Genomic DNA, 15,271 nt, shown 5'->3' on the forward strand with positions numbered 1-15,271 from the left:
CGAAATGAAGGCAGAAATAAAGATGTTCTTTGAAACCAACGAGAACAAAGACACAGCATACCAGAATCTCTGGGACACATTTAAAGCAGTGTGTAGAGGGAAATTTATAGCACTAAATGCCCACAAGAGAAAGCAGAAAATATCTAAAATTGACACCCTAACATCACAATTAAAAGAACTAGAGAAGCAAGAGCAAACATATTCAAAAGCTAGCAGAAGGCAAGAAATAACTGAGATCAGAGCAGAACTGAAGGAGATAGAGACACAAAAAAGCCTTCAAAAAATCAATGAATCCAGGAGCTGGTTTTTTGAAAAGATCAATAAAACTGATAGACCGCTAGCAAGACTAATAAAGAAGAAAAGAGAGAAGAATCAAATAGATGCAATAAAAAATGATAAAGGGGATATCACCACTGATCCCACAGAAATACAAACTACCATCAAAGAATACTATAAACACCTCTATGCAAATAAACTAGAAAATCTAGAAGACATGGATAAATTCCTGGACACACACACCCTCCCAAGACTAAACGAGGAAGAAGTTCAATCTCTGAATAGACCAATAACAGGCTCTGAAATTGAGGCAATAATTAATAGCCTACCAACCAAATAAAAAGTCCAGGACCAGATGGATTCACAGCCAAATTCTACCAGAGGTACAAGGAGGAGCTGTTACCATTCCTTCTGAAACTATTCCAATCAATAGAAAAAGAGGGAATCCTCCCTAACTCATTTTATGAGGCCAGCATCATCCTGATACCAAAGCCTGGCAGACACACAACAAAAAAAGAGAATTTTAGACCAATATCCCTGATGAACATCGATGCAAAAATCCTCAGTAAAATACTGGCAAACCAAATCCAGCAGCACTTCAAAAAACTTATCAAGTGGGCTTCATCTCTGGGATGCAAGGCTAGTTCAACATTCGCAAATAAATAAACGTAATCCAGCATATAAACAGAACCAAAGACTAAAACCACATGGTTATCTCAATAGATGCAGAAAAGGCCTGTGACAAAATTCAACAACGCTTCATGCTAAAAAACTCTCAATAAATTAGGTATTGATGGGATGTATCTCAAAATAATAAGAGCTATTTATGACAAACCCACAGCCAATATCATACTGAATGGGCAAAAACTGGAAGCATTCCCTTTGAAAACTGGCACAAGACAGGGATGCCCTCTCTCACCACTTCTGTTCAACATAGTGTTGGAAGTTCTGGCCAGGGCAATCAGGCAGGAGAAAGAAATAAAGGGTATTCAATTAGGAAAAGAGGAAGTCAAATTGTACCTGTTTGCAGATGACATGATTGTATATTTAGAAAACCCCGTCGTCTCAGCCCAAAATCTCCTTAAGCTGATAGGGAACTTCAGCAAAGTCTCAGGATACAAAATCAATGTGCAAAAATCGCAAGCATTCTTATACACCAATAACAGACAAACAGAGAGCCAAATCATGAGTGAACTCCCATTCACAATTGCTTCAAAGAGAATAAAATACCTAGGAATCCAACTTACAAGGGATGTGAAGGACCTCTTCAAAGAGAACTACAAACCACTGCTCAATGAAATAAAAGAGGACACAAACAAACGGAAGAACATTCCACGCTCATGGATAGGAAGAATCACTATCGTGAAAACGGCCATCCTGTCCAAGGCAATTTATAGATTCAATGCCATCCCCATCAAGCTATCAATGACTTTCTTCACAGAATTGGAAAAAACTACTTTAAAGTTCATATGGAACCAAAAAAGAGCCCGCATTGCCAAGTCACTCATAAGCCAAAGGAACAAAGCTGGAGGCATCACGCTACCTGACTTCAAACTATACAAAACAGCACAGTACTGGTACCAAAACAGAGATACAGACCAATGGAACAGAACAGAGCCCTCAGAAATAATACCACACATCTACAACCATCTGATCTTTGACAAACATGACAAAAACAAGAAATGGGGAAAGGATTCCCTATTTAATAAATGGTGCTGGGAAAACTGCCTAGCCATATGTAGAAAGCTGAAACTGGATCCATTCCTCACATCTTATACAAAAATTAATTCCAGATGGATTAAAGACTTAAATGTTAGATCTAAAACCATAAAAACCCCAGAAGAAAACCTAGGCAATACCATTCAGGATATAGGAATGTGCAAGGACTTCATGTCTAAAACACCAAAAGCAATGGCAACAAAAGCCAAAATTGACAGATGGGATCTAATTAAACTAAAGAGCTTCTGCACAGCAAAAGAAACTACCATCAGAGTGAACAGGCAACCTACAGAACGGGAAAAAATTTTGCAATCTACCCATCTGACAAAGGGCTAATATCCAGAATCTACAAAGAACTCAAACAAATTTACAAGAAAAAAACAAACCCAATCAAAAAGTGGGCGAAGGATATGAGCAGACACTTCTCAAAAGAAGACATTTATGCAGCCAACAGACACATGAAAAAATGCTCATCATCACTGGCCATCAGAGAAATGCAAATCAAAACCACAGTGAGAAACCATCTCACACCAGTTAGAATGGCAATCATTAAAATGTCAGGAAACAACAGGTGCTGGAGAGGATGTGGAGAAATAGGAACACTTTTACACTGTTGGTGGGACTGTAAACTAGTTCAACCATTGTGGAAGGCGGTGTGGCGATTCCTCAAGGATCTAGAACTAGAAATACCATTTGACCCAGCAATCCCATTACTGGGTATATACCCAAAGGATTATAAATCATGCTGCTATAAAAACACATGCACACGTATGTTTATTGTGGCACTATTCACAATAGCAAAGACTTGGAACCAACCTAAATGTTCATCAATGATAGACTAGATTAAGAAAATGTGGCACATATACACCATGGAATACTATACAGCCATAAAAAAGGATGAATTCATGTCCTTTGTAGGGACATGGATGAAACTGGGAACCATCATTCTCAGCAAACTATCTCAAGGACAAAAAACCAAACACCGCATGTTCTCACTCATAGGTGAGAACTGAACAATGAGAACGCTTGGACACAGGAAGGGGAACATCACACACTTGGGCCTGTTGTGGGGTGGGGGAAGTAGGGAGGGATAGCATTAGGAGATATACCTAATGTAAATGATGAGCACAGCACACCAACATGGCACATGTGTACATATGTAACAAACCTGAATGTTGTGCACATGTACCCTAGAGCTTAAAAGTATTTAAAAAAAAAAAAAAGATATAAAATTAGCCAGGCATGGTGGCGTATGCCTGCAATCCCAGCTACTCAGGAGGCTGAGGCAGGAGAATCGCTTGAACCTGGGAGGCGGAGGTTGCAGTGAGCCAAGATCGTGCCAATGCACTCCAGCCTGGGCAACAAGAGCGAAACTCCGTCTCAGAAAAAATAAATAAATACAAAGAAATCCAGCATAGTAGAGATCAAGAAAATAGGTAACATACTGTGTTTGTGGACAAAGAGGATATGAGCAAATAGGAATACTCATATTGCTAAAGGTGTATAAAATGATACAACATCAATGCAGAACAATCTGGCATTGGAATTATAAGTGCAGATTAACTTGAACCATACATGAATCCATCTTATAGCTATATATGCATCTGTGAGAAATGCTATTCATATAAAATTATTCATTGCAGTACTGTCTGTACTAGCAAAAGACCGGTAACCATCTTTTGTCCACAAGTAGAGAACTACATGAACTATGACATGTCTATTCAATGGATACACAAAGATTAAAGCTCTTATTTTTCTATCTATCCATCCATTTATGTATTTACTTTTTCTGATAGCCTTGCTATAGTATAAAGAAGTTCTTTTTGTTTTTTTGGTTTTTTTGAGACAGAGTTTCGCTTTTGTTGCCCAGGCTGGAGTGCAGCGGTGTGATCTCAGATGACTGCAATCTCCGCGTCCCGGGTTCAAGTGATTCTCCTGCCTCAGCCTTCCGATTTGCTGGGATTACAGGCATGTGCCACCAAGCCTGGCTAATTTTGTATTTTTAATAGAGACAGGGTTTCTCCATGTTGGTCAGGCTGGTCTCGAACTCCCATCCTCAGATGATCCGCCTGCTTCGGCTTCCCAAAGTGCTGAGATTATAGGCGTGAGCCACCATGCCCAGCCAGTATAAAGAAGTTCTTTATGTAGTAATATAAAATAAGCTACAAAAGCTATTGTTAAGTTAAAAAAGTAAGGTACAGAATAATGTGTAAAACAAAAAATAGACAAATATGTATTTGCACATAAATAGAATAATTTTGGAAAGTTCCACAAGAAACTTGTTGCAGTGATTGTTTTTGGAGACAGAAATTAGTTGGATGAAACTACTTATTATCACTCTTCTTTTTGTATCTTTTGCTATTTCTCCCCATTAAACTATTTAAAAACAAACAAAAAATTAATTACAAAATATAATGTCCCAATAAAATATATCCACAATTTAAAAATATACAATTTATTAAAGCATATTTTAATAAATATTATAAATAGACATTAATATTTGTGGCTTCCTTATAGTCACAAGTGTCCAGAATGCCCACTACCAATGCCAATGTATTATTTGTATTAAGGAATAACAGCATTGCATAATTTTGTATTGCTGCTACTGTATACTTTTTACTTGGTCACTGCATGCTAAATTTCTCTATGTACTGACCTTTGGTTTTCAGTGTTTTGAGGAGGACATATAGCTGGGGTTTCAGATAATACATTTTTAAGATTTTCTTCTTTCACTTCCTCAGTTTTATTAGTTTGAGAATTTCTTTTCTGGAAATAGGATGCTGCAGATGCCTATAAAAACAAACATGAATACTGCAATAACATCTAGTATAATTTTATATGTTTTATAAGCACGTTCTGAAAAATGTGAAGAAACATCTATAATTATTGAGAATTCTTATACTAACATGTGAAATCTGGAGTTCTCAGTTGTAAATAAATAGGCAAACACATGCAAAACCAAAAAACTACACTTCAGATTCCATGTTTTCCTTTTTTTTTTTTTTTTTTTTGAGACGGAGTCTCACTCTGTTGCCCAGGCTGGAGTGCAGTGGCGCTATCTCGGCTCACTGCAACCTCCACCCTCCGAGTTCAAGTGGTTCTCCTGACTCACCCTCCCAGGTAGCTGGGATTACAGGCACCTGCCACCGCGGCTGGCCTAAATTCCATGTTTTCTAAATGAATACAATTATATTAAATAGAAAAGATAAGCAATAGATCTATTTTACCAATGACTAATCCGGGATCAAATACTTATCAGAGTGGAAAAATCAGGACTCAGAACAAGGAAAAATTAGGGCCATGTACAATATCAGCCACTATTAAATACGAATATACATCAGAACTATCTGGGTGATTTTAATAAAAATACAGATAAATGTCTGAGCTTCTGGGGTCTGAGTATATATATTTTTAAAAAGTGATCTGTAAAAACAAGGAGAGGGGCAGGATAGGCTGGGTGCGGTGGCTCATGCCTGTAATACCAGCACTTTGGGAGGCTGAGGTGGGTGGATCACTTGAGGCCAGGAGTTTGAGACCAGCCTGGCCATCATGCTGAAACCCCATCTCTACTAAAAATACCAAAATTAGCTGGGCGTGATGTCAGGCCTCTGTAATCCCAACTCCTCGGGAGGCTGAGGCATGAGAATTGCTTGAACCCAGGAGACAGAGGCTGCAGTGAGCTGAGATCCTGACACTGCACTCCATCCAGCCTGGGTGACAGAGTGAGCCTCTGTCTCAAAAAAGACAGGGGGAGCAGGATAGTGATCTTGGAAGTCAGAATCTGCTACAAAGTGTGTAACAACTCACGAGGCAGAATAGGGAGTGATTCTGAAACAAAAAACACAACTGTTTTGGGGTTTGTTTTTTTCAGATGGGGTATCTCTTATGTTTCCCAGACTGGACTCAAACTCCTGGGCTCAAGTGATCCTCCCACCTCAGCCTCCTGAGTATCTGGGACTACAGGTATGTGCCACTGTGCCTAGCTGCAAAAACAGAATTGAACCCACTTCCCTAGCAAGACAATTGTAAACAATCAGAACCTCCTATCCTATATCTGAAACAGTGAACAAAACTGAAGACAAACAGATCCCATGCTGCTTACTGCAGATGAGGGTAGCTGAAACAGTACCTGCTTAGGCTTCGGCTTTGGAATCAGAGGCTTTATAATGGGAGACTTTTCATTATTTGTAGTTCGACTAAGTGCAGTGGATTTCTTGGATGATTTGCCCATATTGTCTAAAATATTAGTTGAACGTGCTGAATTCATTGACATGGCTGGTTCTTTGGAACTGGCTGATACCTAAAGAGCAAACTAGTGTTAGCACTGTATGTTTAAAGAAGAAAAATAAAATCCCAAGAGACTTATTTTTTCTTGAAATTTCTGTTAAGTTTGTATTGCCATCTCATCTTTAGAACTAAATACATTTGGTACAATCCAAATTAAGAATGATACGTATATTCCCAAATACCACATCCCCAAGAAAGACAGAGGTATCTTTCAAAACCATAGGTACTTAGAAGGTAAGTAGAAAAGACAACTCTCAGCCCAAGTGCTGCTTTCTTCTGTTTCCACACAGATCAGTCTTTCATGCCTCCAAGTCTGGGGAGAGTCATCTCATCATTTGGAAATATTTCTTTGTATACAAATGTATTTAAATAATATAAAACATCACTTGGAAGAGTTTACCTTAAAGGGATTTACTCGTCCTTGGCTGCTAAAGGTAACTGCACCTTTCACAAAAAAGAAACCCTTGCTTAATAATGGTAGAAAATAGATGACTTCTGACATCTATAATACTAGACAGAGTATTTTAATCCCCATTAAATGAAAACAAATGTATTTTGCAACTTTTCAAAACTATTAACAACAGATATCCTCTTTCCTACTTCTAAGCCAAAATAAAAGCTATTAAATGTGAACCACCCCAACGTGCCACTATGAAACATATTCAGTATGTACAGATCTTTTATCTTCTGTTACTGCGGAAGAGTGGCAGCTCGTCTGAGCTAAGGTTAGTAATCCCTTTACTTGTGTTCTGCATCCCATGCCCTCCTGCTTTGTCAGAAAACCTGACCTATCAAGTTTCTTGACATCCTACATCTTTGACTTTTCCCTATTTATTGGCCCCTAAAGTCTCCCAACTTAAAAAGAAACAAAAAACAAACCTTCTCTACCCCACATTCCTTCCAGTCACCATTTTCTCTCGCCTCCTCCATCCAGCCATTTTTTTTTTTTTTTGAGACAGAGTCTCGCTCTTGTTGCCCAAGCTGGAGGGCAATGGTGTGATCTCGGCTCACTGCAAAGTCCACCTCCCAGGTTCAGGCGATTCTACTGTCTCAGCCTCCCGAATTGCTGGGATTACAGGCGCCTGCTACCACGCCCGGCTAATTTTTGTATTTTTAATAGAGACAGGGTTTCACCATGTTGGCCAGGCTGGTCTTGAACTCCTGACCTCAGGTGATCCGTCTGCCTTGGCCTCCCACAGTGCTGGGATTACAAGCATGAGCCACCACGCCCGGTCATCCAGCCAAATTTTTCCAAGAACTGTTGACACTATTATCATTTCCTCACCACCCATACATTCCTCCATACAATATAGCACTTCCAGCTCTACCACCCTACAGAATCTCCTCTTGCTAAGGCCCTCAGTGATCTCTACATTGTCAAATCTGGTGGATACCTTTCAGTCACCTTGTTTGCTCTATCAATGGCATCCCACATAGCTGACTGTTCCTTACTTCTTGATACTTTGTCCTCTCTTGACTTCTGAGATACTGCATTCCCTGACTTAGTTCCTTCCTCTCTGGACCTGTGGACTCATTGTGTTCCAATAGTTGGTTCCTCCTCTTCCTCTACCTGATGCTCAAATGTTGGAGATTCCCTAGGCTTAAGCTCATTTTTCTTTTTGCTTTACATTCTCCCCCAATGCTTGCTTACCCATGCTCATGGTTTAAATTGCTATACTTATGCCAATGATTTTCACTTTGTATCTCTTGACCAGAATACTTCCCTGAGCTCCTGATTCAAATATCTGTCTTCACGACATTCTACTCACCTTACAGTAATTCATCATCTTCCTCTCTAAATCTGCTTTTCTCTAGTGTTTCCTGACTTAGGAAATGGCACCATCATTCACTCAAGTACTCAAGCCAGTGTTAACAAACTAATCTCTAATTAAGAGCTTTCCTGGCATGGTGGCTTAAGCCTGTAATCCCAGCACTTTGGGAGGCTGAGGAGGGAGGACTGCTTGAGCCCAGTTTAAGACTAGCATGGGTAACATAGGGAGACCCTGTCTCTACAAAAACAAAAAACAACAAAACAAAAAACCCAAACCAAAACAAAACTAGCCAGACATGGTGACACATGCCTGTGGTCCTAGTTACTTGGGAGGCTGAGGTGGAAAGATCGCTTGGGTCTGGGGGGTTGAGGCTGCAGTGAGCCATAATCACGCCACTGCACTCTAACCTGGATGACAGTCACACCCTGGCGGGGGGAAGAGGAGGGAGGGAGGGAGGGAAGAAGGAAGGGAGGGAGGGAGGCAGGCAGGCAGGCAGGCAGGCAGGCAGGAAATTTCTAGCTGAGCATGGCCACTTGTGCCTGTAATCCGAAAATTTTGGGAGGCTAAGGCAGGAGGGTCACTTAAGCCCAGGAGTTCCAGACCAGCTTCGGCAACAAAGCAAGCTCCTCTCTCTACAAAAAGTACACACAAAAAATTAACCAGGCATGGTGATGCACAACTGTAGTCATAGCTACTCAGTAGGGTGAGGCAGGAGGATCACCTGAGCATACGAGTTCAAGGCTGTAGCGAGCTAGGACTGCATCACTGCACTCCAACTCTGCTCCAGTCTGAGTGACAAAGCAAGATACCCTGTATCCGCACCCCCCCCACCAAACAAAAAAAACAAACAAAAAAACCTTTCCATCTAGCCAATAAAAATTGTTTTATTTATCTCGTTTCTGAAAATACTTTATAAAAGTTTCCCCTTTTGTCTCTCCTGGCAGAGTGCTAGCCCCTTGCGGTTTGGTGCCTCCCTGATTCATGAATCACTGAATGTTCAAATTAATCCTTCAAGATTCAAATGTGCTTAAGTTTTTCTTCTATTACAAGAAACTGAGAATCACTCTTTACGCCCTGAACTCCTACACTCTCTTCATCATCTTCAGAAATAGCTCTCCAACTCTGCCCATTCTTTCTAACATCACCATCACCACCCTAGCTCAGGCCCTTATTCAATCTCATTTGGACTGCCTCTGTAGTTTGTTTGTTTATTTATTTATTTGAGATGGAGTCTCGCTCTGTCGCCCAGGCTGGAGTGCGGTGGTATGATCTCACCTCACTGCAAGCTCTGCCTCCCGGGTTCACGCCATTCTCCTGCCTCAGCCTCCCAAGTAGCTGGGATTACAGGTGCCTGTCACCATGCCCGGCTAATTTTTATGTATTTTTAGTAGAGACGGGGTTTCACTGTGTTCTTCAGGATGCTCTCAATCTCCTGACCTCGTGATCCACCCTCCTCAGCCTCCCAAAGTGCTGGGATTACAGGTGTGAGCCACCACGCCCAGCTTGTAGTCTCTTTATTTTTTAATTTTTATTTACTTCTTCTTATTATTATTTTAGATGAAGTCTCACTCTGTCACCTAGGCTGGAGTGCAGTGGCGTGATCTCCACTTACTGCAACTCCCCACTCCTGGATTCAAGCAATTCTCCTGCCTCAGCCTCCCGAGTAGCTGGGATTACAGGCATGAGCCACCATGCCCGGCTAATTTTTTTTTTTGTATTTTTAGTGGAGATGTGGTTTCACCATTTTGGCCAGGCTGGTCTTGAACTCCTGACCTCAAGTGCTCCACCTGCCTCGGCCTCCCAAAGTGCTGGAATTACAGGCGTGAGCCACCACGCCTGGCCTATTTATTTTTTGATACAGGGTCTTGCTCTGTCACCCAGGCTGGAGTGCAGTGGTGCAACCATAGCCTACTGCACCCTCGAACTCCTGGGCTCAAGATATCCTCCTGTCCCAGCCTCCCAAATACCTGGGACTACCGGTGTGTACTACCATGCCTGGCTAATATTTTTATTATTTACTTTTTGTAGAGATAGGGTTTCATTGTTTCCAAGGCTGGTCTCAAACGTCTGGTCTCAAGTGATCCTTCCACCTTGGCCTCTCAAAATGCTGAGGTTACAGACATGAGCCATCACACCTGGCCAGTAGTCTATTATCTGTTCTTCTTCAGCACAGTGTGCCATGCTATACCTCTGCTTAAAACCTACAACAGTCTCTCAGTGACCTTAGAATAAAGAGCAAAATCCTGACCGGGTGTGGTGGCTCACACCTGCAGGTCCAACAACTTTGGGATGTGGAGGTGAGGAAATTGCTTGAGTTTGAGACCAGCCTGGACAACAGAGTGACACCCCATCTCTATTAAAAAAAATAAAATAAAATAAAAAAAAGACCAAAATCCTTAATATGGCCTACACAGATCTGCATGACTTGGCTCCTGCCCATCACTCCGAAACCCTTCAGCACCACTTTCTCTTTGCTCTCTGAGCTTTTCACACCACCCTTTTGCAGCCTTCAGTTCACACATACTGTTCCTTAAGCCCAAATGCTTCTCTTCTGCTCCTGTTCCCATGCACCTTTGCCTTGCTGACTGTTATTCATCCTTCAGGTCTCTGCTGTAAACACTCCATGAGGCCTGCCTTGAAGTCCCTACCCATCCTCCACCACTGGCTAGATGACAGCTATGTGTCATACGCTCTTTTCATATTCTACATGTTTTTTAAGTTAATTTTTTTAAATCAAAGTAACATATGTCCACAGTTTAAAAAGTCAAATGGTACTATAAGGTTTATGCTCCCCACCAAAAAAGGGCCAGCAGTGCCTTACTTCAACCTTCTCTTATCCCCCAGGCCCACTCCCTGTACGCAACCATTTTCAACTCCTTTTTTTTTTTTTTGAGATGGAGTCTCACTCCATTGCCCAGGCTGGAGTGCAATGGCACGATCTCGGCTCACTGCTACCTCCACCTCCTGAGTTCAAGTGATTCTCCTGCTTCAGCCTCCCGAGTAGCTGGGATTACAGGCACATACCACCACCCTCAGCTAATTTTTGTATTTTTAGTAGAGATGGGGTTTCACCGTGTTGGCCAGGCTAGTCTAGAACTCCTGACCTCGTTATCCGCCCACTCCGGCCTCCCAAAGTGCTGGGATTACAGGCGTGAGCCACTGCGCCCAGCCTTCAATTCCTTTTAACTGTTTCTCCAGTATCCTGCATGCTTCCTCAGTGATACCCAGATCTGTCTTCAACATCTGTCTTCTCAGCTGGGCTAAAATAGCATTAAAACAGAGATCAACCACACATGTCTGTTTGACTTCTGTATCCACCATTAAGTAAAATGCCTGACACTCAATAGGCATTTTATAAACATCTGTTAAATGACCATAGCTTCACAAACAACATCTGAGATTAAAAAAACAAAAACATAAACACACACACACCAAAAGTGGCCTTAAGAGTTAAGGTGTATTTGCGTAGATGTGTCACTTTGCAGATGACTTGCAAAATTTCCTTGATATTACAAATTTATAAATATTTCTCACCTGACTTAGCTGAAACATCAGAGGAATTTGTACTTTTGGAAAACGAGTTCTGTCCTACAGATTAAAATAAAGCAATATAATGTAAATGGGGAAAATATAGTCATCCTCAATATACAACAACCAGATAGCAAAGAGGTCTGAAAAAAAGTATGAGTATTCAATTTCCCTCAGTTAAGCAAAATGGGAAAAGCCACATCCATGATAGTTCTCATGATTTATGGGCTTGAAAATGTATCTCACCAGGCTTATGTATTTCTGGTTTTTCTTCATCATCAGCTTCTCCACTGTCCTCAGCATCTTCTTCAACTTGATTTCTGAACCTTGGTTGGCTCCACTCTGTAGCAGTATTGCTGTAACTAAGAGAAAATAATATTATTCAATAAAGAGCTATGCAAAGACCAACTTAACATTCAAGACAGTAAAGGAAAATTCAAACAACTAAATTATTTCTTACCCAGCATTCAGCTTTTTTCTGAAATCTTCTTCTTCTTCTTCCTCTTCCACCTGGGTTGCTGTCAATTCGGCTGCCTTCTCTACAGCCAGTTCACTTAGTTTTTGAGCCAGTATTAATTTCCGAGAGCGAGAAGCATATTTAATGGCTAAATTCACAGCATTTTGAGTCATTAGATCAGCAAGTTCCACACAACGGAATTCTCGCTCCAGTTTACAAGAAAGCTAATCCAAAAAGGGGGGGGGGGGGGAGATCAAATAACATCAAGTAAAACTTTTTAAAGATACTGACACTACTAGTAAAACTGAGACAATAGTTTTCTAGCTACTCTATCTCCCTAATTCTAAGATGCACATTTTTACAAGTTTTAACATCTCTGAAATTGGAATTACAATTAATTACAATTAATGGTGGGTCAGTTTGGCAGCATTTTTATGTCTCCATGGCTTAAATGAATAAAGTAATGGTGCACTATGCAATAAACAGTGGCTTAGATTTGATGAAATATTACATACCACTTTAATCTACTAATTGCAAGAAAATTAAGAAATTTGTTTAAAAAATTCAAGGGGGAGGCTGGGCACGGTGGCTCACGCCTGTAATACCAGTGCTTTGGGAGGCCCAGATGGGTGGATCATGAGGTGAGGAGTTCGAGATCAGCCTGGCCAATATGGCAAAACCCCGTCTCTACTAAAAACACAATTAGCCAGGCGTGGTGGCGTGCGCCTGTAATCCCAGCTACTCGGGAAGCTGAGGCAGGAGAATCGCTTGAACCCGGGAGGTGGAGGTTGCAGTGAGCCAAGATTGCACCACTGCACTCCAGCCTGGGCGAGAAAGCGAGACTCTGTCTCAAAAAAAAAAAAAAAAAAAAAAATCAAGGGGGCCAGGTGTGCTGGCTCACACCTGTAATCCTAGCACTTTGGAAGGCCAAGGCAGAGGGACTGCTAGAGGCCAGGAGTTTGAGACTAACCTGGGCAACACAGTGAGACCCTATAACTACAAAAAATAAATTAGCTGGGCGTGGTGGCATGCACCTGCAGTCTTATCTACTCAGGAGCCTGAGACAGGAGGTTCACTAGAGCCCAGGAGGTTGAGGCTGCAGTGAGTTACAATCTTGCCACTGTACTCTAGCCTGGGTAACAGAGTGAGACCCTTTCTCTAAAAAATACAAAAAAGAAAAACAACAAACTGAGAAAAGTTGGTATTTTGAAGATTACTAAGGGTCTCCTAATTCATAGTGTATTAGAACTATTTTCTTACTTAGATATTCCATGTCTGATCCATCAGCACAAAAGCTTTAGATATTCACCTGGATGCCCTTTTCAAGATTTTTAGTATCATTTATCTATAATCAGTACTTCTTAATCGGGATGGTACACTGCCTCAGGGGGCATTTAGAAATAAAAAGGAAGCCGGGCGCAGTGGCTCACACCTGTAATCCTAGCACTTTGGGAGACTGAGACAGGTGGATCACAAGGTCAGGAGATCGAGACCATACTGGCTAACACGGTGAAACACAGTCTCTATTAAAAATACAAAAAATTAGCTGGTGTGGTGGCAGACAACTGTAGTCCCAGCTACTCGGGAGGCTGAGGCAGGAGAATGGCGTGAACCTGGGAGGCGGAGCTTGCAGTGAGCAGAGATCGCGCCACTGCACTCCAGCCTGGGCAACAGAGCGAGACTTCGTTTCAAAAAAAAAAAAAGAAATAAAAAGGAATAGTCTGGTTTCCACAGTGACTATTCTGAACTAAAGGCATTTGCCCGGGGGTCAGGAATGCTAAAGAAGAACTCAACAATCCCCTTGAACTCCTGGGCTCAAGATATCCTCCTGCCCTGGCATCTTTGATATGAGTCCCCTGGTATTTTTGATATGAGAAACACTGCCACAGGGAAAAGCTCCTCTAGGCTAAATAGCAAATACATGAAATATGTTTCCTTATATGTGTTGTACAAATAAAAAGGCTACTAGTTCCTGGACCACAAGTAACACTTTATAAAAGGAATAAAACTTTTTCTACAATAAACTGAGTTTTCTTAATACCAAACTTAAGGCCATGTTGCATAAAGGTGACAGTAGTGAGTACTACCTTTTGGAGACAAGAGTGGCAATTTGCTCTGTGGTCTCATATACCACTTTTCTCTAAGAACCTTTTTTCTCCAATTTTAAAATTAAAAGTCTGGACCATTCACTCTTGTCAACAAATATCGAGGTCTACTATGTGTTAAGCCACCATGTCAGTGCCTGGCATACAGCAGTGAGCAGGTCTCTGCCCTCTGGGGCATAAAGTCTAGTGTAAGACAAATAAAGAAGAAATGATACTATACTCCTCTCCATAAACCAACCTTGAGTGGGGACACAAGCACAGGAACTTTAAGACACCCTGCTCCAAAGATAAATGTACTTAAATATTCTAGACACCAAACCTGGCCACTGGTCACAAATAAATTTTCATCACACACAGCTGCCTAACTCAAAGAGGATGACAAAAGGCAGGCATATCTAACAGCCCGATCAAAGTTCTTAAGATTGCCCAGCCCTGGAGATTAAAAAACAGTATATACTCAAACTTTGTAAAATAATAACAGAAACTAGAGCAGTGGTTCTCAGTTACCTTGAGAGCCCGTTAAAACATAGACTGATGGGCAAAAGCAAAAGGGAAGTAGCCCTAGAGATGTTTATTCCTGCACATGATCTTAGCTACAAGGTACTGTTTTATTTATTTTAGGCTGGGCACGGTGGCTCATGCCTGTGATCCCAGCACTTTCGGAGGCCGAGGCAGGTGAATTACCTGAGGTCAGGAGTTCAAGACCAGCCTGACCAATGTGGTGAAACCCTGTTTCTACTAAAAATACAAAAATTAGCCAGGCATGGTGGCACACGCCTGTAGTCCCAGCTACTCGGAAGGTTGAGGCAGGAGAATCACTTGAACCCGGGAAGTGGAGGTTGCAGTAAGCCAAGACTGCACAACTGCACTTCAGCCTGAGAAACAAGAGCGAAACTCCGCCTAAAAAAAAAAAAAGAAAAAAATTTTAACTGCAAGACCAACTAGAAGATAGAACTTTACAAGGGAAAACACCACCAGATAAAACTTAAGAATGGCTGGGTGTGGTGGCTCACACCTGTAATCCCAGCACTTTGGGAGGCTGAGGCGGGCGGATCACGAGGTCAGGAGTTCGAGACCAGTCGGGCCAACATAGGGAAACCCCATCTCTACTAAAAAAAAAAAAAAAA

General features: G+C 41.5%; 1 protein-coding gene across 4 annotated transcripts in view; it reads right to left on the bottom strand.

The window, feature by feature from the left end:
• Positions 1-15,271, bottom strand: part of WDHD1 (WD repeat and HMG-box DNA binding protein 1) — an 88,151-nt gene that overhangs the window by 11,961 nt on the left and 60,919 nt on the right. For 3 of the 4 annotated variants that reach the window (NM_001008396.3, NM_007086.4, XM_011536373.3), the window contains 6 exons: positions 12,043-12,263; positions 11,829-11,944; positions 11,589-11,642; positions 6,683-6,726; positions 6,125-6,295; positions 4,652-4,785 (listed from right to left, as the gene is read on the bottom strand). In NM_001008396.3, the coding sequence (NP_001008397.1) occupies positions 4,652-4,785; positions 6,125-6,295; positions 6,683-6,726; positions 11,589-11,642; positions 11,829-11,944; positions 12,043-12,263 (740 nt within the window). The remainder of the gene's footprint in view (positions 1-4,651; positions 4,786-6,124; positions 6,296-6,682; positions 6,727-11,588; positions 11,643-11,828; positions 11,945-12,042; positions 12,264-15,271) is intronic. The other variant, XM_006720012.2, reaches the window with a different exon arrangement.

The sequence above is a fragment of the Homo sapiens genome, chromosome 14 (genome assembly GCF_000001405.40).
Source record: "Homo sapiens chromosome 14, GRCh38.p14 Primary Assembly".
Taxonomy (NCBI): domain Eukaryota; kingdom Metazoa; phylum Chordata; class Mammalia; order Primates; family Hominidae; genus Homo; species Homo sapiens.